The sequence below is a fragment of the Homo sapiens genome, chromosome 8 (assembly GCF_000001405.40).
Source record: "Homo sapiens chromosome 8, GRCh38.p14 Primary Assembly".
Lineage (NCBI taxonomy): Eukaryota > Metazoa > Chordata > Mammalia > Primates > Hominidae > Homo > Homo sapiens.
Genome location: NC_000008.11, coordinates 113,314,568 through 113,340,938, shown reverse-complemented (window position 1 = coordinate 113,340,938; position 26,371 = coordinate 113,314,568). Strand labels below are relative to the sequence as shown.

Below are 26,371 nucleotides of genomic sequence, written 5' to 3'. Positions count from 1 at the left end.
AAGCAATACAGGTCAATTTCTACTTCTGGCACTGGTGGAGTAGACAAATATTTCCCTTTTTTTTTTTTTTGAGACAAAGTCTTGCTTTGTCGCCCACGCTGGAGTGCAGTGGCACAATCTCAGTTCACTGCAACCTCCGACTTCCAAGCTCAAGCGATTCTCATGCCTTAGCCTCCTGAGTAGCTGGGACTACAGGGGCTACTGCACCTGGCTAATTTTTTGTATTTTTGGTAGAGACAGGGTTTCATGTTGCTCTGACTGGTCTCAAACTCCTGGCCTCAAGTGATCAACCCTACTTCGCCTCTCAAAGTGCTGGGATTACAAGTGTGCACCACCATGCTTGGCAAACAAACCCTTTCATCAGAAATGATAGAACAGATAGAAAATTGTGATTTTTCTTTTAAAACTTAGCATACAAAAATATTTGTTGCTAGAACTAAAATACTGGAAGAAATTTTTCAGGCACAATATAAGTCTACATGGAAAGACTGTAATGATTAATGAATAAGTATGTAGGTTACTCTAAATGAATATTGAGTGGTTAAAGCAGTATTTATGTCTTCTGGGTGTGTATAATATATATAAAATTAAAATGCACAGAAACAATAGTACAAACATCAACTGATGATGTGGAGTTAAAATGGTCTAATGTCCTCATTTTTTGTTCAGGAGGTGATAAGAGTACTAATTTATAATTGACTCTAATAATCAAGGATGCATATTTTGCTTCCTAAGAGAATACAAAACTTACAAGTCAATAAAAAACTTGCAATAAAAACACCTACTTGATTAAGAGAAGGCAAAAACAATGACATAAAAGGAACAAATAATAGAGGAACAAACACATAACACATATATAAATAGTTATAGTAAGTTTAGATATGTTATATACTTCAAAGTTAAGTAAAGACTATGACATGAGCTAAAAAAAACCTAAATGTTGTTTATAAGAAATACACCTTGATTATAGTATTTTAATAATTATAAGTACAGGCACTAATTTACAAATAGCTGAATGAATCTATGCTAATAGCAGATAAATTATAATTTACGGTGTGAGCATTGATAGATATAAAGAAGGGTATTTCATAATGGTAGACAAGTAAGCATATAACGACCATATAGTAATTTTAATTCTATTCACCTAATAACTTGTCCAAATATGTACAGCAAAAACTGAAATAACAAGGAAGGGAAAATCTATGCAATAAAGATTTTTAATGAAGTTGCTCAGTAACAGGTGAAAGAAACAGAAGAAAAAATAGTAGATCTAATAACAATCTAAACACAATGAAAAAATTGGACCCAATTGGCATACATTCACCCAATAAAAGAAGAATATACATTATTTATGTTTACACTAGAAATTCACCAATATCAAATTATATTATTTCTCCTAAGAGAGGTAGACACTTTAGCAGTAAACGTTTGTATGATGTTCTAAGATCAAAATTGTCCTCTTCTGAAGAAAATAAAATAACTTAATGCATTTTTTTGGTAACAACCTGAAATACAGCCATGAAATCATGTTTCAAAAACATCCATTTGGCAGCATATTTGATACCTTTAGGCCATAGGCATTTTGTATTCTCAGACAAATTGATACTGGGATTTTTGATGTACTTATTTAAATTTGTATTTTCTAACTCAAAGACAATGAGACATTTATATTATGTAATGGAGCTCCATGGCAAACTATAATAATTATAGTATAACTATGAGGCGGAGGAAGAGAAAGGGAATATAACACATAGTATTCATTATGTTTAAAATATTGTTGAAAGAAAGTTGTTAACATGCTTAATCTTTAAAATAGTTATTCTTATTATTCTGTTATATGGATAAAGAATCTGAGGCATAATATGATTAAATGATTTGCACAAAGGAAGTGCTAAGTTGTGAAATGAGAATGTCTGGCTTCAGAGTCAATTAATGGCTCATTGAAAATCTGTTATTTTCAATAAAATTATGAAAAACATTTTAAAGTGTAATTAAACAGACAAGTGTGGACAAGAAAACCTTAATTAATAAGTCATATTTTAGAGAATACAAAATAAAATACAGTGATTTATTTTAGAGAAATGCAACCAGGTCCAAATTCAGTAGTTTCAGTATATTCAGAGTTGTGCAAGCATCAATATGATCTAGTTTAAGAACATTATTCTAAAGAAAAACCCTATTATCAATCACACTCCATCCTACCCAGCCACTTACCTCTGTGCAGTCCTAATCAACCACTAATCATTTTCTGTCTGCATAGATTTGCCTATTCTGGACATTTCATATGAATGGAACCATTCACTATATATCTTATTTTATTACTGAATAATTCCACTTGGCATAATGTTCTTGAGTTCCATGTTGTTGCAAGTATCAGTGCTTTATTTTATTTTATTGTTAAATAGTATTCTATTGTATGAATATACCATATTTTGTTTATCCCTTCATCAGTTAATAGAGATTCAACTTATTTTGGCTCCTATAAATAATGCTACTATGAACATTCGTATGCAAGTAGAGTATGGATATCTGTTTTATTTCTCATGAGTATATGCCCAGGAATGGAATTTCTGGGTCAGATGGTACTCTATGTATAATCTATTGAGGAATTTGCAAATTATTTTCTAAATTGGCTGCACCATCTTACATTTTGAGATTTCTCATTCTATCATATCTTTGACAACAATTATAGATGTTCTAATGGTTATCTAGTGGTATCTCATTGTGATTTTAATTTGCATTTCCTGAGTTATTTTTAAGCATCTTTTCATGTGCTCTTTTGTTTATATATTTTTACCAGGGTGACTACTAAAATGCTTGGCTTGTTTATTTCATTTTGTTGTTCTTTTTATTGTTGTTTTAAGAGTTATTTATATATTTTGAATACAAATATCTAATCAGATGTATAATTTGCTAATACTTTTTCCCATTCTGTGGGTTATTTCTTTCACTTTCCTTTTGTTATTTATTGAAAATAAAAATTGCATATATTTATTGCCTACAACATGTTTTCAAATACATATTATGGAATGTCTAAACTGAGTTAATTAACATATGCATTACCTTAGTTATCATTTTTTTTTTGTGGTAAAAACACTTATAATTTACTTTCTTAGTAAATTTCAAGAATATAATACATTGTTGTTAACTATAGTCACCATGTTATACAATAGATCTCTTGAACTTATTTCTCCTAACTCAAAGATTGTATCCCTCTACCAACATCTCCAAAACTTCACTCCTGATCTTTCAGTTTCCTTATGGTATCATTTATAACACACAAAGCTTTTAATTTTGATAAAATCTAATTTATCTATTTTTTAAATTTTCTCTTGTGCTTTCAGTGTCAGATCTAAGCTATTACCTAAACCAAAGACATAAAGTTTTACTTCTATGTATTTTTCTAAGATTTTAATAATGTTAGCTATATATTTGTTCTGTTGTCCTTTTTGAGTTAATTTTTCTGTATGCTATGATGCTAGTGTTCATACTTTTGCATGTGTGTATCCACTTGTCCCAGTTCCATTTGTTGAACAAACTATATTTTCTCAATTAAATTTTCTTGTCACCCTTATTAAAAATCTGTGGCCAGACTTGCTCTTCCAGGAATATGGCATAGACATACTTCTCTCCATTTCTCATGCTACAAACAACTAAAAACCCTCTATGTTATATATAAAGCCAATATTGAGAGGTAGGGGAAAAAAGGCAGATTGACTAGTGAACTTGACATCTAAAGAACAACATTTTGCTAGTTCTCTGGAATTTCCTTTTACTTCAAGTATCTCAGTCTCAGGCTTAAATAAGCCAGTAACTTGGAAATGACAGACACAGTCACAAAAAGCACCAATAACAGCCTGCCTTCTGTACCCAAAGGACCAAGAAAATGGAAACACAGAAAGACAAAAAACCGTTGAGTTGATATATGTCCTATACCAGCCAAACAACACAGAAAAATATGTGGCTTCCACCCTTATCCACAGCAAAAAAAGACTAAGTGGGGAGCTGGTACTTTCAGGCTTACCAGGCTACAAGAAGGTGTTCCAACACCCTCACTGTGGTGGTGCTTGAAAGAGCTAGAATACTCATCTCTGCTGGCCAGTAATGAGACCCCCTGTACTGCAGTGTCAGTGTAAACACTGGATCCTGGACTTTCATACCCACTTCATAGTAACAAGGTGCTTCTTCTGCTTCCTGCTGGGGTGGTGTCAAAAGAGATCTAGTGTTCAGAGTGGTCACCAGCACCCAATTACAACAATGTGACTCCCTGGGTTGTTAATGGAGGCCAATTAGGAAACATGGACTTCTTCGACCTGACAGCAATGAGGTAATCCTCCCCTTCCCATTCCACTGCTGGGGTAGACTCAGAAAAAGACTCATACACTGAAAATGTAATACAATCCAGAGTTCCTTAGCATAATATGAAAATATCCTGATTGCAGTTAAAAAACTCACTTGTCATACAGAAAACCAACAAGATATCAAACTAAGTAAAAAACAAATTGGATGCCAACCCTAGATGACAGAGATTTTAAAATTATCTCACAAAGATTTTAAAGCAGCCATGCTAAAAATGCCTCGACAAACAGCACAGGCACACTTAATACATTTTTTTTCAAGCGAAAGTGTCAGCAAAAAAATTTAAAAGTTTCAGCAAAGAATAGAACATGTAAGGAGGAACCAAATCAAAATCTACGAAAAGTATAATAAGTAGTATGAAAAGCTCAATTATTGGGATCAACAGCCAAATAGAGGGAACAAAGAAAATAATCTAAGAACTGAAGACAGAAAATAAATTACTCAATCTGAACAACAGGAAGAAAGTAGGCCAAAAAAATGGATAATGCATCAAGAACCTGTAGGACTAAAATAAAGAATGTAAAATTTGTGTCATTGGAATTATAAAAGGAGAAGGGAAAGAGAGCAGGACTAAAGACATACTTAAAAAATGACTAAAAATTTTCTAAATTTGGCAAGAGTCAAACCTACAGATTGCAAAAACTGAGTATACCCCAAAATGGATAAACCAAAATAAATCCATGCATACACATCTTAAATAGAAAACTAACGAAAAAAAGTATTACAAGCAGCCAGAGACAAAAGGGCTCCACGCTTATAGGTGAAAAGGATAAAAGATACAGAAGTACTCAACAACACGGTTGACCAACAGGATGTAATTAACACTTATAGAACACTTTACTCACAACATTGTAATATCCAACAGGATGTAATTAACATTTATAGAACACTTTACTCACAACATTGTAATATCCAACAGGATGTAATTAACATTTATAGAACACTTTACTCACAACATTGTAATATATATTCTTTTCAAGTATCAAAGGAACAATCTAAGGTTTCATGTAAATACCCAAAAAAAAAAAAAAAAAAAAAAAAAGAAGGAGGAGGAGAGCTAAATCCAGAGCAAGGAGTAGTAAATATAGAAAAAGAGCTGAACATCTGAAAACAAAACAACAAAATAGAGAAAATAATAGAGAAATATTATTGAAACAAAATTTGCTTCTTTGAAAAGATAGGTAAAATTGACATACTGCTGGTAAAGCTGACAAAGAAAAAAGATGACACAGATTACCATTGTATTAGTTTGTTCTTGCACTGCTATAAAGAAATACCCGAGACTGGGTAATTATAAAGAAAAAAGTTTTAATTGGCTCATGATTCTGTAGACTGTACAAGAAAGAAAGTACGGCAGCATCAGCTTCTGGGAGGCCTCAGGAAACTTAAAATCATGGTGGAAGGTAATGGAGGAGCAAGATATTTTACATGGTAGGAGCAGGAGCCAGGGTGGAGGTGGCGTGCTATGCACTTTTAAACAATCAGATCTCTTGAGAATTCACTCACTATCGCTAGGACAGTATCAAGGGGGATGGTGTTAAACCATGAAAAACCACTCATATGATTCAATCACCTCCCATCAGGCCCCACCTCCAACATTGGGGATATAATTTGATTTGGTGAGGACATAGATCCAAACCGTATGGCCAATATTAGGACTAAAAGGAGAGATATCACTACAGTTCCTACAGACTTTAAAAACATAATGAAAGGCACACTATTAATAATTCTATACACATCAATTGGACAACTTAAGACAAAATGCACCGATTCCTTAAAAGAAAAAAATATGCCAATTCCTCTGATATGAAATAAATATTGCAAATAGCCCTATAACTATTAAGAAAATAGAATTCACAATTACAAAAGTGCAAAGAAAAGAGAAATCTCCTGACCCAGATGGTTTCGCTGGATAATTCTATCAAATGTTTCAAAATAACTAGCATTCTTATTCTAGAAACAATAGCAAGGAAATTTCCCAATTCATTTCATGAAGCAGGTATCACTGTCCTGATATCAAAACCATATAAATCCAGTACATAAAAGAAAGCTGAAGATCAGTACTTCTAGAGAGTATAAATCCCTAAGCAAAATATCAGCAAGTAGAACTCAACAATATATGAAAAATAATTATAACATGACCAAGTGGGCCTATTGCAAAAATGCAAGGATAGTTCTATATTCCAGAATCAACCAATGTCATCCACCATATTAAGAGATTATACAAAATAAGTATATCATCCCAATACAAGGAAATATGTAACAGGTACACAGGCTGGAAATGAAAAAAAAAAAAAAAAAACTTAAACTATCCCTAGTTGCAGATATTGTAAGTGGCTATACAGTACATGTACCCCCTGAATCTAAAATAATATAAAATAATACAGATGATTAAGACAGAAAGTAGAAAATTTTATAGATGTACAGAAAGACTACTCTACATAAGTGAGTTCAACTGGGTTACAGATACAAAGCAAATATCAGTTAAAAATCGTAATTTTTGTATAGTAGCAGTGAACATGTAGACATCTAAATTATCATTTACACTCATTAAGAAAATATAAAATACTTAGGATTAAATTTAACAAGTCATGTCTAGGACTTCTATCCTGAAAACTATACAAAGCTAGTAGAAGAAGTTCAAGATGGGGATCTATATAAATGGAGAGACATGCTGAGCTCATGGACTGAAAGTCTCTTGTAGTGAAACAGCAATTATCCCCAAATTTACTTATAAATTTAATGCCATTCTTGACAATATTTCAACAAGACTTTTTGTAGACGTAGACAACATTATTTTAAATTTTATTTCAAACTACAAAGGAACTAGAATAAATAATTTTGAAAAATGAATAATACTGTGGGAAGATTTAGTATGGTTGATTTCAAAGCTTATTATGTAGTTACAATAATCAAGACTTTGGCATTAGCAAAGAGGTAGAAACATAGATCATTGGAACACAATAGAGAACCTCAAAGATAGACTCAAACAAGTATGCCAAACTAATTTTGAGAAAGGTATAAAAGCATTTCATTTACGGAAATGTAGATTTTTTACTAAATAGTGCTGGATCATTTGGACATGCACAGGAAAGCAAAATTAATGTTGACCTAAGTCTGATACATAATCAAAAATTAAATAAACAGATCACAACTTAAATGTGAAACATAAAACTATTACACTTTTAGAAAAATAGATACAAAAAATGTTTAAAATCTAAGAATAGGTGAACAATAATTAGTCTTTATAGCAAAGCAGGATCCATAACAGGACAAAGTGATGACATGAAATTCATCAATATTAAAAACTTTTGCTATGTCATACACCCTATGAAGAATATGAAAAGAACAGCTATTGAGTATCAGATAATATTTGGAAATCACAAACTGGAGAAGAGTACCTGCATCTAGAATATATACAACCTTTCAAATTTAGCAGTTAAAAAATTTAATGATCCAATTAGAAAATGGATGAAAGTGTTTTTTTAAATACTTGAATGTGAATTTATGCTTATCTCAAAATAAGATTTTTAAAAAGAAGAAAACAATAAATTTGCTCAGTTCCCCTCTTGACTCCCCCACACTCAAATCAAATGTCTATATATGTAAAACTATATTTATGGACTCAATTTTATTCAATTAATCTTATGTCCATCTTTATGCCACCAGTACCATGCTATGTAATTACTGTAGCTTTGAAATACACTTTAAATTAGGAAGTAGGTATCATCTAATTTTTTTTCCAAATTGTTTTGGCTGTTTTGGTTCCCTTGCATCATATATGTTAATATAAATTTTTGGCATCAACTTGTCAATTTTAGCAATTAAAAATAGCCACATTCGATTTTGCAAGGTACTGCTTGAATAAGTGCATCAGTCTGGAGTGTATTTGCCTCTTGAAAATGTTGCCTTCTAATTGATGAAAAAAAGGATATCTATCATTTATTTACATATTCTTTCATGTCTTTCAACAATTTTTGTAGTATTTAGTATAAAAGTCTTGCTTCTCTCGTTAAATATATGCACAAATATTCTTCTTTGCACTATTGTGAATGAATTTATTCTCTAATTTTATTTGTTGGATTGTGCATTGCTAAAATATAAAAATACAGTGATTTTTTGTTCACTGATATTTAGCTTGCAACCTTGCTGAATTTGTTTTTCATTCTAACAGTTTTTAGTGTGTTTTTTAGGGTTTTCTATATACAGGGATACCTCATTTTATTATGTTCTGCTTTATTGTGCTTTGAAGATATCTTTTTTTTTTTTTTTTAACCAATTGAAGTTTTGTGGTAATGCTGTATGGACAAATTGGATAGGCACCATTTTCCCAACAGTATATGCTTACATTATTAGCATTTTTATAGCAGTAAAGTATTTTTTTAATTAAGGCATGCACGTTTTTTAGACTAAATGCTATTGCACACTTAATAGATTATAGTATAGTGTAAATTTAACTTTTATATGCACTGGAAAACCAAAATGTTCATGACTCACTTTGTTGCAATATTTACTTTATTACTGTGGTTTGGAATTGAACCCACAATATCTCTGAGGTATGTCTATATAAGATCCTGCCGTCAGCAAATATTTGTATTTCTTTCTTTGCTGTATGGTTGCATTTTATTTATTTTTTTCTTATCTAATTTCTCTGGCTAGAACCTCAAGTATAAGGTTAAATACAAGTGGCAAGAATGAATATCCTCGTTCTGTTCCTGAGCTTAGAGGAAAAGCCCTATCTTTCACCATTAAATTTGATGGTGGTCGTCAGTTTAACATAGCTGTTCTTTATCAGGTTGAAGGTGTTCCATTCTATTTTTAGTTTATTGAGTGGTTTTACTATAAAAAGCATGTTGAATTTTGTAAAATATATATTCTTTTTCTATTGGGATACTTAGTGGATTTTGTCCTTTATTCCGTTTATATGTTTTTACATTAATTGATTTCAGAATGTTAGGTTTAGCTTTGCATTCCTGGGTAAATCTCATTTGGTTATTATGTGTGATTATTTTTTTATTTTGCTGAATTCACTTTTCTAGTATTTCATCAAGGATATTTTTATCAATATTCATAAGGAATATTGGTCTGTGGAATTTTTATCTCGCATTGTCTTTGTTTTTTGATATCAGAGCAAGATGGTCTTTAAAATTAGTTGGGAAATGTTTCTTCCTCTTTTATTTTGTGAAAGAGTTTGTGAAAAGTTGGTATTAATTTTTTATGTGTTTAGTAAAACTCACCAATGAAGCTTTTTGGGCCTAGGATTTTCTTTTTACAATTTTTTTTTTTAGTCACACATTCAATCTCTTATTGTAGTTCTATTCATATTTTATAATTCTTCTTCAGTTTATGGTTTGGGTCATTCTAGGAATTTGTTCATTTCATTTGAATAATCTAACTTTTTAATTCATAGAATTCCTTATAACCCTTATTTCGTTAAGGCTGGTAGTTATGTGCTCTCTATTATTCTTGATTTTAGTAACCTGTCTTCTCTCTTTTTGTTCTTGGTTAGTCTATATAAAGTTTTGTCAATTTGCTGATCTTTTCAAAGAATCAACATTTGGTTTTGAGAACTTTTTTCTGTTGTCTTTGTATTTTCTATTTCATTTATATGGTCTTTGTTGGGTGCAGTGTTCTATAGATGTTAGTGAGGCTTAGTTGGCTTCTGGTCTTGCTCGAGTATTTTATATCTTTGCTGATATGCTGCTTTGTTGTTATATCCATTACTGAAAGCAGAGAATTAAAGACTCCAACTATTATTTTTGAAGTATATACTTATCCCTTCAATTCTGCCATTTTTTCCATGTATTTTGAGAATCTGTTAGGTACAAATATTTTCATATTTTTTTATTAATATGGACTACTATATGACTATAAAAGTATTCATTTACCTCTGTAACAATTTTTATGTTGTCTATTTGGTATGATATGAGGTTAGCCACTCCAGCTCAATTTTCATAACTGCTTCCATATTATATATTTTGCCATCCTTTTATTTTACTTTCATTTGTTTTGTGCCTCTGTACCTAAAATATGTCTCTTGAATAATAATTTTCATCCATCTAGCAATACCTGTTATTTAATTGGAGTGTTTATTCCATTTATATTTGATGTTATTACTGACAAGGCAGAACTTATTCTTGTCATTTTGCTATTTGTTTGCTGTACGCCTTATATATTTGTTCTTTCCTTTCATTACTGCCTCATTTTTTTTGTTAAATACTTTCTAGTGTACAATTTTAATTCCTCTGTTGTCTCTTTTAATATATTTTTGAGATATTTTCTTATTTGTAATGCTGTGGATTACAATTAGCTTCTTACTTCAACATTCTAGTTCAGATTAATACTAACTTAATTTCCAAAACAGACAGAATATTTGCAGCAATGTGCTTTCATTCCCTCCTCATTTTTATAGTAGCATTTTATTATTAAATGTTATATTTATACGTTGTAAACTATTCAGAAATGTCTTATAATTACTGTTTTTGCAGTTTAAAAATTATATAGGAAAATAAAACAGTTAAAATGTACATTTTTGGTTCTCTTCATGTTCACCTAGGTAGCTGCTTTACTGGTACTCTTTATTTATGTGGATTTGAATTGCTGCATCATGCTTTTCCATTTCAGCCCAAAGGACTCATTTTAATTTTTCTTGTAAGACAGTTCAGATAGTGATGCATTTTAGCAGTTTTTATTTTTTTCAAATGTCATTATTTCTCCTTCATTTTTGAGAGCCTTTTTGGTTATAGATTTTCTTGTTAACGTTCTCTTGTTTCATTCCTTTAAACATGTAATTCTACAACTTTTGGCCTTAATCATTGTTAATCTTTTATATGCTTGATTTATTTTTTCTCTTTGCTGCTTTCAAGATTCTCACTTTGTCTTTCAACAGTTTCACTGTGATGTGTCTGGGTGTGGATCTCTATATGTTATTTTTCCTGGATGTGTAGATTAATATTTTGAAATCATATTTGAAAGTATTTGACGACTTTTTTCCCACCCAAATATCCTTGCTGTCCTCACCTCTTGCATCTTCTCTGGGACTTCAATTATGCAGATCTTGGTATGTGTAATATTGTCCCAAAAGCCTCTGAGGCTTTGCTTATTCATGTTCATTATTTTCTGTTTATGTTCCCTAGAGAGGATAATCTCATTGAATTATCTTCAAGTTTACTGATTCTTCTTCATGAACTTCAAATTTCTTGCTTAATTCCTTTAGTGAATTTTTCTTTTTTCAATTGTTTAACTTTTCAACTGCAGAATTTCCATCTGGTTATTTTAAGCTAATTTCTCATTAATAGTGTTATTTATTTGGTGAGACATTATTTGTACATTTTCAGTTAATTCCTTATTTATTTATTTATTTATTTATTTATTTTCATTCTTTAAACATACTTGTAGTAGCTAACTTAAAATCTTTGTCATATATGTCCAATTTCTGAACTTCGAAAATAGTTTCTAACCACTTATTTTTAAAATGAGCCATACTTTCCAGTTTCTTAAAATGTGTCATAATTTTTGTTGAAAACATGATATTTTAGTGCAGGAAGTGGTGGCTCGCAGCTGTAATCCCAGCATTTTGGGAGGCTGAGGTGGACGGATCAGTTGAGTCCAGGAATTTGAGCCTAGCCTGGGCAACATGATGAAATTCCATCCCTACAAAAAAATACAAAAATTAGCTGTGCATGGTGGAGCACGCCTGGAGTCCCTGGTACTTGGGAGGCTGAAATGGGAGGATGGCTTGAGCCTGGGAAGGTTGAGGCTGCCATGAGTCGTTATCACGCCACTGTACTCCAGCCTGGGTGACAGTAAGACCCTGTATCAAAAAAAAAAAAAAAAAAAAAAAAGAAAAGAAGGAAGGAAAGAAAGAAAGAAAGAAAAGAAAACATGGTATTTTAAATACTAGAATGTACCATCAGTGGAAATCATATTCTCACCCTTCCAGGTTTTGCTGCCTGTACCTGTTTTTCATTGTTTTGATATTTGTTCACTTAGTGACTTTCCCAGGTTAATTCTGTAAAGTCTGTATTCTTTCTAGTGCATGGCTATCCTAGCTTCTGCTCAGTTAGCAAATTATAGGTCAGATATTTCCTCAAATGTCATAAGCAAATCAATACATCTTTCATCTTTTTTTTTTTTTTTTTTGAGACGGAGTCTCGCTCTGTCGCCCAGGCTGGAGTGCAGTGGCGGGATCTCGGCTCACTGCAAGCTCCGCCTCCCGGATTCACGCCATTCTCCTGCCTCAGCCTCCCAAGTAGCTGGGACTACAGGCGCCCGCCACTACGCCCGGCTAATTTTTTGTATTTTTAGTAGAGACGGGGTTTCACCGTTTTAGCCGGGATGGTCTCGATCTCCTGACCTCGTGATCCGCCCGCCTCGGCCTCCCAAAGTGCTGGGATTACAGGCGTGAGCCACCGCGCCCGGCCCCATCTTTCATCTTATCCCAAAAGGTTTTCTCTCTGGTGTGTGTGTGTGTGTGTGTGTCTGTGTGTGTCTGTGTGTGTCTGTGTGTGTGTTTGGGCACAACTTCAACATTATAACAATTTACAAGTTTGTCTTAGCTTTCACTTATTTTTTAGGCAGGATCTCAGGTCATCCGTAAGTGAGAGACTGGTTCTCTCTCAGCTTAGCATTCACACAGGCCTGTACATGCACATAACCTTGTGAATATGGTAGAGCTTTTCAAAGCCCCCTGTGAGCACGTCTTTCCCCAGACCTTCCTTTTATGTTTTGACCAGGCTCTTGTTCCAATTTACACAGAAGCTTCAGGCAGTTGCAATGTTAAACAATTGTTTCAACTTTTTTTTTTTTTTAAACAAATGAGCTGGGGATAGGGCTCTAACCATGGAGAAATCTCCATGTCAGGCCAAATAACAGCAACATGTGCAAATTGAGTTTTCCAGGGGAATGCAAGATAGGTTAAATAGCGACAGTCTTCTGGGCAAGGGGAAAGGAATGCGTTGAGGAGCACCAAATCTGGTCTGTTCCCCCTGATTGCTGGGAGGCTGTTTTGCACAGCTACCAGGGATGGGAGGCTGCTGATTTTGAAGGTTCCTACTGGGAAGAGGGGAGTGGGAGCAGTTGAGTTACAGTGCTATATTCCATGCCATTATTAGTAAGGTTCAGCAGTTTTTCTTGAAAAAAACACCCCTTATATTAATTCCAGATTTGGGATAAATCCCATAGCTCTGGAAAAAATAGATTTTGACCATTTTTGCCAGTATATTTGTTGCTTTTAATGTATGAGACTCTATATGGAGGCCTCCCCTCTGCCATTCCAGAAGTACCACCAAATACAAGTCATTTTATTCAAAAAGTAATATGTTATCACTAATTTTCCTATTCCGCATATATTCTCATAAAATGAGAAAGTGTAATTAATATAGCCCTCATAACAGCAGGATGTCAGCTGCCCAATTAAAAATAAAGAAAATCACAGAAAAATACTACTCTCTAATTTGAAATACTTTAGTTTTTAAAAGTCAGTAGTATTTTATATAAGCTCTTGGGTGGCAGTGGGAAATCCAGCTGGGACTTAGACTTCTTAAAGCTATCCAATTATGTTTGACATAATTCATTATATTCTTTCTCAAACTTTCAAACTTAGGTACAACCTAAAGAAATAATTTTTACTTTCTGAGTTAATTTGTATTTCTACCGTTAATGCCATCTTTTTATTGAGTGATTCCTAGATTTTTCCTATAATATATAAGACTAAATTGACTCAAATATCAAAAGGTTTAAGCTTAAAATGTCATTCTTATGAATTTGGAATGGGTTATAAACTTTATAAAATTAACTGAACTGTATAGAATTAATTTTGTGTGAAAATAAGAAAATAAAATCAGAAGGACACAGTGGCATAAATGTCTGAAATACAGTTTACTTAATAGTAGCAGATAATTTGTATTAGTTAATAATTCAGAGATCCAAATGAGGAGACATACACTAATAAGTTTTATAGATAAAACACTTACACATTTCTTCATCTTTAAAATGTAGAGCGTACTAATATGTACTTCACAAGCTTATTGTAGAGATTTAATAAAATAATATATGTTCCTTGACAATAGAAATATTAGAATAAATGAATATTCTGGAGGCAGCTTTTGCTGTTGCTTCTTGTTGTTTAATTTGTAGACAAATCAGTTACCCTGATTTAAAAAAAAAACTATGTTATTATTATTGTAGATGTTATAGTGAGGATCATCAGGAAAAAAAACTAGAAATAATGGGATCTTAATATAATTAATATAACAACATGGTCACTTTAAAAAGACAAGATGGCATCTGGTCTAGCAAGATTTGTAATCAACTGAACTCTATCAACATGTTCAAAGAAAGACTGTCAGAAACAAGGGGGCTTTTTCACTTATTGAACCGTAAAATGTGGAGTCTAAGATGTGAACATTAGCATTGCTCATTGTAATTATATCCCATAGGGCAAATACCACTGCATTCTGGAGATAACCATGAAAAACTAGCTAAGTTAGATGTTATGAAACATTTGAAATATACACATAATCCCTCTTATTTAAAATAGGTGTTTTTACTTCTTTTTTCTAAATTAGTTATAAATATCTTATAATTTAAGATGTCTTCTTATTTGGATTTGCTATATAGAGAAATATGTTAGGAAGAAATATTGGCACTGTAGTTTTTCATCTCACACTCTGTGAGTTTATTTATTGTAAGTCTACCCTGATGGACAGACACCTCACTCTCTGTCACTTATTCCATTTTCTCATAATCTGAGGCTAAGATCTACATTGGAATTATGACACATTCACTTAGGAAACTTTCTGTGACTGAGAGACCCTTTTAGGAGAGAGCAGGTGAGTTTGCCTAAACAAACTCTTGTGGCACTGCATTCCAATACTTTTTCTACAATGACTGCATATAGAACTCTTTTCTACCATACAACTCTTTTCATCAGTGGGGAATTACGGGATGAGGAATAGACTGAGAAACTTGAGTGTAAGGCTGTATTAGTCTGTTTTCATCCTGCTGATAAAGACATACCCGAGACTCAACAATTTACAAAAGAAAGAGCTTTAATGAACTACAGTTTCACATGGCTGGGGAGGCCTCACAATCATGGTGGAAGGCAAGGAGGAGAAAGTCACATCTTACATGGATGGCAGCAGGCAAAGAGAAGAGAGTTTATGCAGATAAACTGCCTCATATAATACCATTAGTTCTTCTGAGATGTATTCACTATCATGAGAACAGCATGGGTCCCCATGATTCAATTATCTCTCACTGGGTACCTCCCACAACATGTGGGAATTCAAGATGAGATTTGGGTGGGGACACAGCCAAATCATATTTTTCTGCCCCTGGCCCCTCCCAAATATCATGTCCTCATATTTCAAAACCAATCGTGCCTTCCCAGCAGTCTCCCAAAGTCTTAAGTCATTTCAGCATTAACTCAGAAGTCCGTAGTCCAAAGTCTCATCTGACACAAGGCAAGTCCTTTCCATCTGTGAGCTTGTAAAATCAAAAGCAAGTTAGTTACTTCCTAGATACAATGGGGGTACAGGCTTTGGGTAAATACAGCTGTTCCAAATGGGAGGAATTGGCAGAAGCAAAGGGGCTGCAGGCCCCATGCAAGTTCAAAATCCAGCAGGGCAGTCACATCTTAAAGTTCCAAAATGATCTCCTTTGACTCCATGTCTCCCATCTGAGTCATGCTGATGCAAGAGGTGGGTTCTCATGGTCTTGGGCAGCTCCACCCCTGTGGCTTTGCAGGGTACAACCTACCTCCTGGCTGCTTTCATGGGCTGGTATTGAGTGTCTGTGGCTTTTCCAGGGGAACAGTGCAATCTTTCAGTGGATCTACCATTCTGTGGTCTGGAGGATGGTGGCCCTCTCTCACAGCTCCAGTAGGTGGTGCCCCAGTAGGAGCGCTGTGTGGGGACTCCGACACCACATTTCTTATCCGCACTACCCTAACAGAGGTTCTCCGTGAAGACCCTGCCCATGCAGAAAACTTCTGGCTGGGCAGCCAGGTGTTATCATACATCTTCTGAATTCTAGGTGGAGGTTCCCAAACCCCAGTTCTTTACTTCTGTGCACTCTCAGGCTCAACACCACATGGAAGCTGCCAAGGCTTGGAGCTTCCATTCTCTGAAGCCATGCACCGAGGTCTACGTTGTCCCCTTTCAGTCATGGCTGGAGCAGCTGGGACACAGAGCACTAAGTCCGTAGGCTGCACACAGCCCAGAGACCCTAGGCCTAGCCCATGAAACCATTTTCTCCTAGGTCTTAAGGCCTGTAATGGGAGGGGCTGCCGTGAAGTCTTCCAACATGCCCTGGAGACCTTTTCCCCACTATGTTGAGGATTCACATTCTTTCCACGTAACTTATGCAAATTTCTGCAGCCAGCTTGAATTTCTCCTCAGAAAATGGTTTTTCCTTTTTATCACATTGTCAGGCTGCAAATTTTTTGAACTTTTATGGTCTGCTCCCCTTCTGAATGCCTTTAACAACACCCAAGTCACCTCTTGAATGCTTTGCTGCTTAGAAATTTCTTCCACCAGATATCCTAAATCATCTCTCTCAAGTTCAAGATGAGATTTGGGTGGGGACACAGCCAAACCATGTCAAAGACTGATTCCTTCTTATTAACTGTAAAGTATTGTATTCATTCATTCATGTATTGATAAAACACAATAGAAATATTGGTTAGTGATCAAAAGAAGAAAGGTTACTGGAGAAACTTTTGGAGGAACATACATAATTTTACAATATAAAAATGTACCTTTTATATTTATTTTCTAGTGACAAAAACAAGCATTCAATAGAAATTAAATTAACATTCAGTGCTTAGGTTTTTCTTTTACTGCTAAAATGTGAGTAGCCCAAATAATTTGATATATAAACATTTATGAAAGAACATGTGAATAAAATTTATGTTGTTTTACCCACTATTTCTCTTGACCCTGAAAAGTGTTTTTGGTTTAGTGAAAAAGATACTTTTTATAAGTACATTCATGTTGTTAATTTATGAATAATGCAAATGAGGTCATTTTGAAATCTTATAGGGCAAAATATCTGCTAGGGTCCTTCAGTTAATCAAAACACACGTTAAACTTGATTCTAACAGGATCAGGTTGAGCCTTGAACAAATTTGGAGCTGCAAATATATTGAGGAGTTTATATTATTGGATAATCCAGTAGGTAATTTTGTTGGCCACTAGTAAAATAATAATAGTTTGAATAACAATTGAGTAATTTGAGCCGTTTGGTTATTTTATTTTACTGTTTATCTATTCATTCTTTTTAATGAAGAGTGTTCAATGTCTACAGTGAATTATACTAAGCCTTGAGGATATAACAATAATACAGGCAAGGCCTCAAATCTCATGAAACTTACATTCTTATGGGAAAAACATTGAAAACAGACGAGTAAACTAATAATTTCAGACAGTGATTAGGGCTTCAAAAAGCGAATGAGGGTAAAGTAATAGTTACTGAAATGGGGTAAGATGGTCAAAAGCACTCATCTAAATTAAAAAAGTAAGCCAGCCAGGAGCTGGGTGTGGTGGCTCACGCCTGTAATCCAAGCACTTTGGGAGGCTGAGGTGGGTGAAGAACACTTGAGGTCAGGAGTTTGAGACCAGCCTGGCCAGCATAGTGAAACCTTGTCTCTACTTAAAATACAAAAATTAGCCGGGCATGGTGGCGGGCACCTGTAATCCCAGCTACTCAGGAGGCTGAGACACGACAATCGCTTGAACCCGGGAAGTGGAGGTTGCAGTGAGTTGAGATCACACCACTGCACTCCAGTCTGGGCACAAAGCGAGACTCTATCTCAAAAATAAAAAAAAGCCAGTATAAATGAAGGTTTTCATAATAATATTTTCATAACATTGAAAATGTCAATATGGCAAAATGTTAGCTCTCCCCAATTTATCTATAGAATCAAAATAATCCCAATCAAAATTTTAGCAGTTTATTTTGTAAATTGATTCTAAAATACATATGTAAATGCTAAGCTTTAAAAAAGCTGGAGCAGTTTTGAAGAAAAAGAATGATGCTTCTTATGAAACAAGTTAAGATAGTGTGGTATAAACTAATGGAACAGAACATCTCAAAACAGGCCTACACGAATACCCATGTTTAATTTATGACAAACTGAAGTATGGGTCAAAAAGTGTGTCTTTTTTTATAAATGGCTCTGGGTGATTTGGATATCTAAATAGAAAATAAATTAATCTCTATCCATCTCTCCCATCACCAAAAATTATGTGTTCCTAATGTGCATGTGATAAGTAAACCAGTACAACATGAGAAGATAGGATAATTTCATCATGACTTGAGGATAGAAATGCATACATATATAATAAATTTATGAGTAAAAGTTTAGAAAATTACACAAATCTGAGGCGATAATGGTTACTTTGATGAGTAATGAAAGATATTGTGATTAAAACTAATGAAGGCATCATAAAGAGTTGTAATAGTGTTAGTTTTGGATATACCTACTGGTAACATAGGTTTTCAGTTTGTAATTATTAAATTTTTCATGTATGTACATTAATTTGGTGCACATTTTGTATATTTGTTGTGTTTATATTAAAAAATTTAAAACAAAGGCCTCTCTGAGGAGATAATATTTCCAAATTTTTATGTAAAATACTGCAATTTTAAAGCTTTTGGGATTATGCAAAGAAATATTGTTCCTCAGTGAGTATTATAAGTTCTTCTTATGAGTATGTAGCTTTTCATTTCAATCAATGTGAAATTTACAAGTTAAATGCATTCACCCCAAATCTTTACAAAAATCTGTTATCCAAAAATTTACCCAAAATTATAATACTAACCCTATTTGTCTCTGAGTTTCCTCAATGTGGAAGTTTGGAGAGTCATTTGGTATGGGCAAAGAAATGGTAGAGGAAAGTATTTATTCAGTCAAAAAGTGCTTACTGAATTTCTACTGAATGCCAGGTTTTGCTCAAACCACAATGGCATAAAGGCAAATTTTTGAAAGACTTAGGAAAAACATTCATAAAAAATTACATTGTAAATAATAAATATTAGAAACAGAAGTATCAATAAAGAAAAGCAAAAGATAAATGACAAGTGACACTTTACCTTAATATCTAGTAAGTGAACATTTTGAGGACTTTGATGAGCAGGTGTATATGTGTGCCCCACTCCTTCCTCTGTCTAGAAGAAGAAGTTGTTAGTAAACTTCAAAGAACTATTCCTAGGTCAGCTTCAAGAAATTTAAGAATCCAGTTTAGCACTCCAAAATTAAAGATGGAATATGGCTCAGCAATATAAAAACAAAAATCAGTTAGCTATTATATAAGATACATGGAGAGAAGTATGAACCTTATATTGACAATAAGAAGTAGCTGAATAATACTATTGAATAAGGAAGTGACAAGATTGGGTTTGTTTGTTGTAGAAATGACTTTAGCAGCAATGTGGGGACCTGAGTAGATGGGCAAATGCAGAAAGCCTAGCAGGATAGACTGGTTGCTCTTAAAATAGGATAGGATGCAGGAGATGAGGAAGAATTGAATCAAATCCACAGGGTTTAGAATAGAAAAACAAAGAGGGGACTAGAGATAGATTTAAGAGACAGTTAATAGAATGAACTAATGAGATTTGAGGATAAGCAAAGGACATGGATGACTAGTTTCTACATGGTATGCTACATCTACACGGAGATATATAGCAAAGGGTGGAAACAGATAAATGAAGATATGCCTCTTTTATGGTCACCAGTATTGCTTACAGCTATATCTGTGGTTGCTAAGAAGCCTGCAAAATAGAGAAGACAGATGAAGACAGAAATTTAGTAAAGGAGTGGTTTTAGGAGAAGTTCATGAGATTAGAAAAGCAGGGCATCATCATGGAAACAATAAGAAAAGATTTCCAAGAAAGAACAACGATTAGCCGTAACAAATGCACAAAGATGACAAGAACAATTTTTTAAAAAAGAACTGATTTTGAAAATGGAAAGGTCATGAGTAATTTTTGCAAGAGTCATGTCAACATAATTGGTCACAGAAGCTCAGTTGCAGTGTTTTGTGAAGATGGCTGGAGAAAGTAAACACAAGTGTGAATGTTGTTTGTCAGAAACCTTAGCACGCTCAAAAAAATTAAAACATCATTAAACTACTATACATATAGTCATTGCATTATTTCTTGCTGAATAGTAAAGGTGAAATATGGGCATGATGTTTTTTGAAATCAATATTGTTAATCAAACTCTTGATGACAGTGAGACCTAAGTCATATAAAATTTAGTTACCTTTCAACTGTAAGTACACTGTTAATTTTAAGTGCACATTAAAAGATAAGGTCTGAAAAACATAATATAAGGCATTTAGAAATTGTAAAACACGAATCTATGAAAAAGTTGCAATGCCAGTTTTTGAGGGGAGTTTTCCATATACATCATACTGACTTAATCTATATTTAGTTTTACTTCTATGTGTTCTCATAGCAAAGTGTGCACACCCAAATCATAATACTTTCTGTATTTTGTAGCAATGGCCTAAATGTCCTGCTATCTCATGTTTTAGATTGTCAGCTCCCAGAAGATGAGCTTGGACAATGTTCTTTATATCATTTTACCTGTAAGGCATGAAATATGTGATGAATAGATGAAAGAATATAGGAAAACAATCATCAGAGGAGACAAGAGAAAAAGGAGGTGATGTTCCACATGTACTATAAAGAACAATAAGGAATTGTAGATTTATGAGAACAATGAGCAAGAATAACCAAAGTTGTTTCACTTAGAAATGTATTTACAAAGGCAAATATAGATTCCAAGTGAATCACAATAGTAATCTCAACAGTAATCAGCAAAATTACAATAGCAATTACAAGAGTAACTACTTGTTATCAGAGAAATGCAAAAGAAAATAGTATGATAACTTTTTTTTGCCTTGCAAAATTTGCCTTTTAGCTTCTTGACATTGGCTTTGGCAATTAATTTTGATACCACTCCAAAAAGCTCAAACTACAAAAACAAAAGTAAATAAACAGAACAGCATTAAACTAAAAACCTTAGGAACAATAAAGGAAACAATCAACAAAATAATAGGCAATTTATGGGCTATTAAAAATATTTTCAAACTACATTTTTGTTAAGGGGTTAATATATCCAGAATTATAAAGAATTCTTATAACTCAATAGCAGAAAAAACAATAACCTGATTTTAAAAATGGGCAAAAGACCTGAACAGACATTTCTCCAAAGAAGCTATAAAATGGCAAAAAGGTATATGAAAAGATGCTCAACATAATTAATCTTTAAAGAAATGCAAATTTAAACCACTATAAGATATTGCCTTACTCCCGTAAGTATGATTATTATCAAAAAGACGAGATAACAATTGTTGTCAGGGATGTGGAGAAAAGGAAACCCTAGTACACTATTGGCGGGAATGTAGATTAGTACAGCCATTACGAAAAAACTGTATGGAGGTTCCTAAATAAATTAAAAATATTATATTCATAGAACCACTATATGACCCAGCAACTCCTCTTCCAGGTATATACCAAAATGAGATACAAGAACCACCATGTAAAAATATCTGCACTCCCATGTTTTTTGCAGCATTATTCATAATAGTCAAAATGTGGAAACAACCTAGATACACGTTGAGAGATAAATTGATAAAGAAAATGAAATGTGTATATATACATACTCACACACAAAATGGAATCTTATTCAGCCTTAAAAAGGGGATATAGATCCCTTTTTATATATACACAATGGAATATATTTTACACACACACACACACACACACACACACACACACACATCTTATTCAGCCTTAAAAGAGGAAATCCCACCATGTGCTACAACCTGGATGGACTTAGAGGACATTATGCTAAGTGAAATAAGCCAGGCACAAAAATAAAAGTATTGGAAGATATCACCTATATGTGGAATATATTTTTTTTAAAAAGCTTAAGTACACACGCATAGGCAATGAAACAGTGATTTCCATGGGTGAGCAGGAGTAAGGGGAAGAGAAAGTGGGGAGCTGTAGGTCATATAGCAGGTATGTAGGATGAACAAGTTTAGAGGCCTGATGTACAACATTAGGACTACAGTTAATGAAATTGTATTGTAGTAAGGATTTTTGTTAAATAAGTATATTTTAGCTACTCTTGTCAAACAAAAAAGTAACTATGTGAGATGATAGCTACAGTAATCTATTTCACTATGGTAACCACTTTACTCTCTGTATGTGTTCCACAGCATCAAGTTGCAAATTTCAAATAAACATGATAAAATTTCTTAAAAAGCAAAAATGAAAAACAAAATTTGCCTTTCAAAAATATCTAATGTTGCCAGAATTAGGATTGAGGGTGAAAAACACTTCATACAGTGGTGCCAGAAACATAAATTTTCATATTTATTAAGTATGGTTTCACTGTATCTGTATAAATTTTCTGCAACCCCATTTCTGGGATTCCATCTTGGGAGGTATCAAGCAAGTGCACAAGGATATATGCCCTTTGTACACAAAAGATATATACTTTGTACAAGGATATATGTACAGAGTTGTTTTTACACAGTTGCTCATTAGACCGTTATAACCATAAAAATGAAGTTATCATTAGGAGAATGGTAAAATAAATTATACTATAGGCGTACTATATGCTGTGTAGCTATAAAGTCTTTCAAAGAAGAATGTAGTAGAAGTCTACATCTGTACCCAGAAGAATGCCAGTGATTTTTTTAAAATAGATATAACAATTCAGAAAAATAGGCATAATATGACTGACATCACTTGAAAAATAATATAGAATGGATATCTGCTTGTGCCTAGGAAAGGCCTAGTAAGAAAAACACTGCGCTATTAAAAATGACCAACCCTGTGAAGCATAAATGAATGAGGGAGGATATTTTGCTTTATAATGCTTACTTCTGATTTTCAAATTTTTAAAGTAAAATATTTAAAACTCCTTTCTGGAAAAAATGTACTTTATTCTAGAGAATAATGCTATGTTTAATGTAACTTTGTGATAAACAAAAACAAAAGTAAAAAGAAGAATACAGATAAGGAAGTTTAAATATAGGTGTAATTCCTAATTTGTCTAAAAATAAAAGTACTCGAAATCCATGAATCAGCAGGCCCTTGAAGAATGAGTGGACAAAGCTGAGCATGTTATTTTAAGACATATGTCCTTTTTCTAAAACTATCAGGGTTATGGGGCTTGAGAGTATATAAAACAGCCCGTAGATCAGATTGTAGCTGAAGGGATTCATGCTTGCCTTTAGTTATGAAGTTCAAATTGGAAGCTGTTCAGGCAGAAAACTAATAGAAATGGGTGATAGCTAATTAACCTAAGGCTTCAAAGTAATTGCTCTGCAAGAAGCAATTTAAAAAGAGACCTTTTATTTATTTATTTATTTTTGAAAATCATAAAATGCCCTATTTGACTTTTGGTGCATGAGCAAAATTATCTGAATATACACAAATATTGATTTTTTTTAAACCTCTTCTACCTGATCCAACTTCCTGGTCAATTTTCAAAGAGGCAAAATGATAACAAGAACTATGCTTTATAGCACATAAACATACCAAATATCCCAGGCTTAAGACTTTGCCATATGGTGAGATATAGGAAAAGATCCCTGTAGTAAATTTTGCTCAGAGGATAGGATTATATTGGTCAACCAAGCCCTGAGCCACATTTCTCATCACTGGAGTCAGCAGAGTCAGCTGCTCCAAAGTATGTAGCTGTTTTGGCCTGGCCAGTGGCTCACTCCTGTAATCCAGCATTTTTGGAGGCTGAGGTGGGTGGTTTACTTTAGGTCAGTAGTTCGAAATCAGCCTTGCCAACATGGTGAAACCCCATCTCTACTAAAAGTACAAAAATTAGCTGGGCGTGGTGGCGTATGTCTGTAATCCCAGCTACTCAGGAGGCTGAGGCAGGAGAATCACTTGAACCCAGGAGGGGGAGGTTGCAGTGAGCCGAGATCACGCCACTACACTATAGCCTGGGCAACAGAGCAAGATTCCGTCTCAAAAAAAAAAAAAAAAGTATATAGCTGTTTGATAGAGAAGTGGCTTCCCTGGCAAAAACAAGGTGCTATTGTGAAAAGAATGTGGAATAAATGTACAACATCCCAAATCAGCCACTATCTGCCATAATCTACAACTCTGGCTTCTGAGGACTTCTATTCAGCATTCCTCTTACTTTTAAAAAGTATCCATACTTACATAAAATATATTCATTTCTTCTCAAAGAGAGGAGCCCCAAATTTCCTGCATTTCTATGCCAGTTCCAAACATAGATGCTTTTGGTAGTATCGACTTCTCTCCCTCAGATTAGCTTGATAACTCTGATTTACAGCTTCTGGCACTTCAGCTTCCTGTAGGACTCACAGATAAAGATAATAACATCTGGGTGAAGAGTTTCTCATGAGAACTTCTGATCCTGTTTAACCGCCTCTAAATGCAAGTTTTATTAGCATGTAGCCTACATAAAGACTGGGACCATCTTCTCTTACGGTTGTATTAATCTTAGGTTTTTACATTACACAATATGCTACAGAATATTATATATTTGAAGAGGCCAGGCATGGTGGCTCACGCCTGTAATCTCAGCACTTCGGGAAACTGAGGTGGGTGGATCACCTGAGGTCAGGAGTTCGAGAGCAGCCTGGCCAGCATGGTGAAACCCCGTCTCAACTACAAATACAAAAATTAGCCGGGCGTGGTGGTGCATGTCTGTAATTCCAGCTACTTGGGAGGTTGAGGCTGGAGAATCACTTGAACCCAGGAGGCAGAGGTTGCAGTGAGCTGAGATCTCGCCACTGCACTACAGCCTGGGTGACAGAGCAAAATTCTGTCTCAAAAAAATATATATTTAATATATATATTTGATATATATTTAATATACATTTGATATATATGTTTAATATACATTTGATATATATATTTAATATACATTTGATATATATTTGTGATATATTTGAGATATATATTTAATATATATACCTGATATATATATATATTTGAAGAGACAAATTGCTGAAGAAATATAGTAAGTTTTCTAGGTATCTCCAGAACTCATGCTCTCAGTAACTTAGACTTTCCATGGAACAAATACAGAAGTTCTTAAGATGGGTGCTGTCAGTTGTCCAAGATCCATTTATTTAACGTATTTTTGTCCTGACCTTCGGATTCACTCTGATGTGGTTAATTTAGAATTCTGTTCATCATGGACTAAATATTTTAATGAAAGGTAGAGCCATTTCATAGACTTTAAAAAATTCCTCTTCTATAATCAGGGTGAGACAGATTTTCCTAAAGCATGTGAGCTACAGGGTAGAGATCTGAATATGTCAAAAAAGCTAGCATGTGTTGCCAAGAAAAATGGAGTTAATTCTTTGGGACCCAAAATGCATACAAAGATCTTTAAAATGTCAGTGTTGTTTATGAGCTCCCACAATGAGATTTAAAACTCTTTGAAGAAAGATACCGTGTTCTAGGATTGTGTTTGTCTATAGGAACCTGTAATGGATAATGAATCAGATGTATGTGGATAATTTTATTTCATCAACTGCTTTATAATTATTTACCTCAGTATGTATTATAAATGATAAATCTTCTATTATTTTGTTTCTTATATTTTACATATATATTTGTATATAGTGCCCAGCTCTTAAACTGCCATTTATAAAATTATTGTTAACTTTGGTCTTGGAAATGCAATAGACTTTCAAAATAATATTATCTCATGGATTGTTCTTGATTTATATAATATTAATGTCTGTTTATTGTCTTTTGTTGCAGGATTTATTTATACATGTGGTGGAACTTTAAAAGGACTTAATGGCACTATAGAAAGCCCTGGTTTTCCATATGGATATCCAAATGGTGCAAACTGCACATGGGTAATAATAGCAGAAGAACGAAATAGAATACAAATTGTTTTTCAGTCATTTGCTCTAGAAGAAGAATACGACTACTTATCATTATATGATGGACATCCTCATCCTACAAACTTTAGGACAAGGTT

General features: G+C 33.7%; 1 protein-coding gene across 9 annotated transcripts in view; it reads left to right on the top strand.

Moving 5' to 3' along the window:
* CSMD3 (CUB and Sushi multiple domains 3) overlaps positions 1 to 26,371 on the top strand; it is a 1,214,012-nt gene that overhangs the window by 96,001 nt on the left and 1,091,640 nt on the right. For all 9 annotated transcript variants that reach the window (NM_001363185.1, XM_017013010.2, NM_052900.3 and 6 more), the window contains one exon: positions 26,146 to 26,368. In NM_001363185.1, coding sequence (NP_001350114.1) covers positions 26,146 to 26,368 — 223 coding nt within the window. The remainder of the gene's footprint in view (positions 1 to 26,145; positions 26,369 to 26,371) is intronic.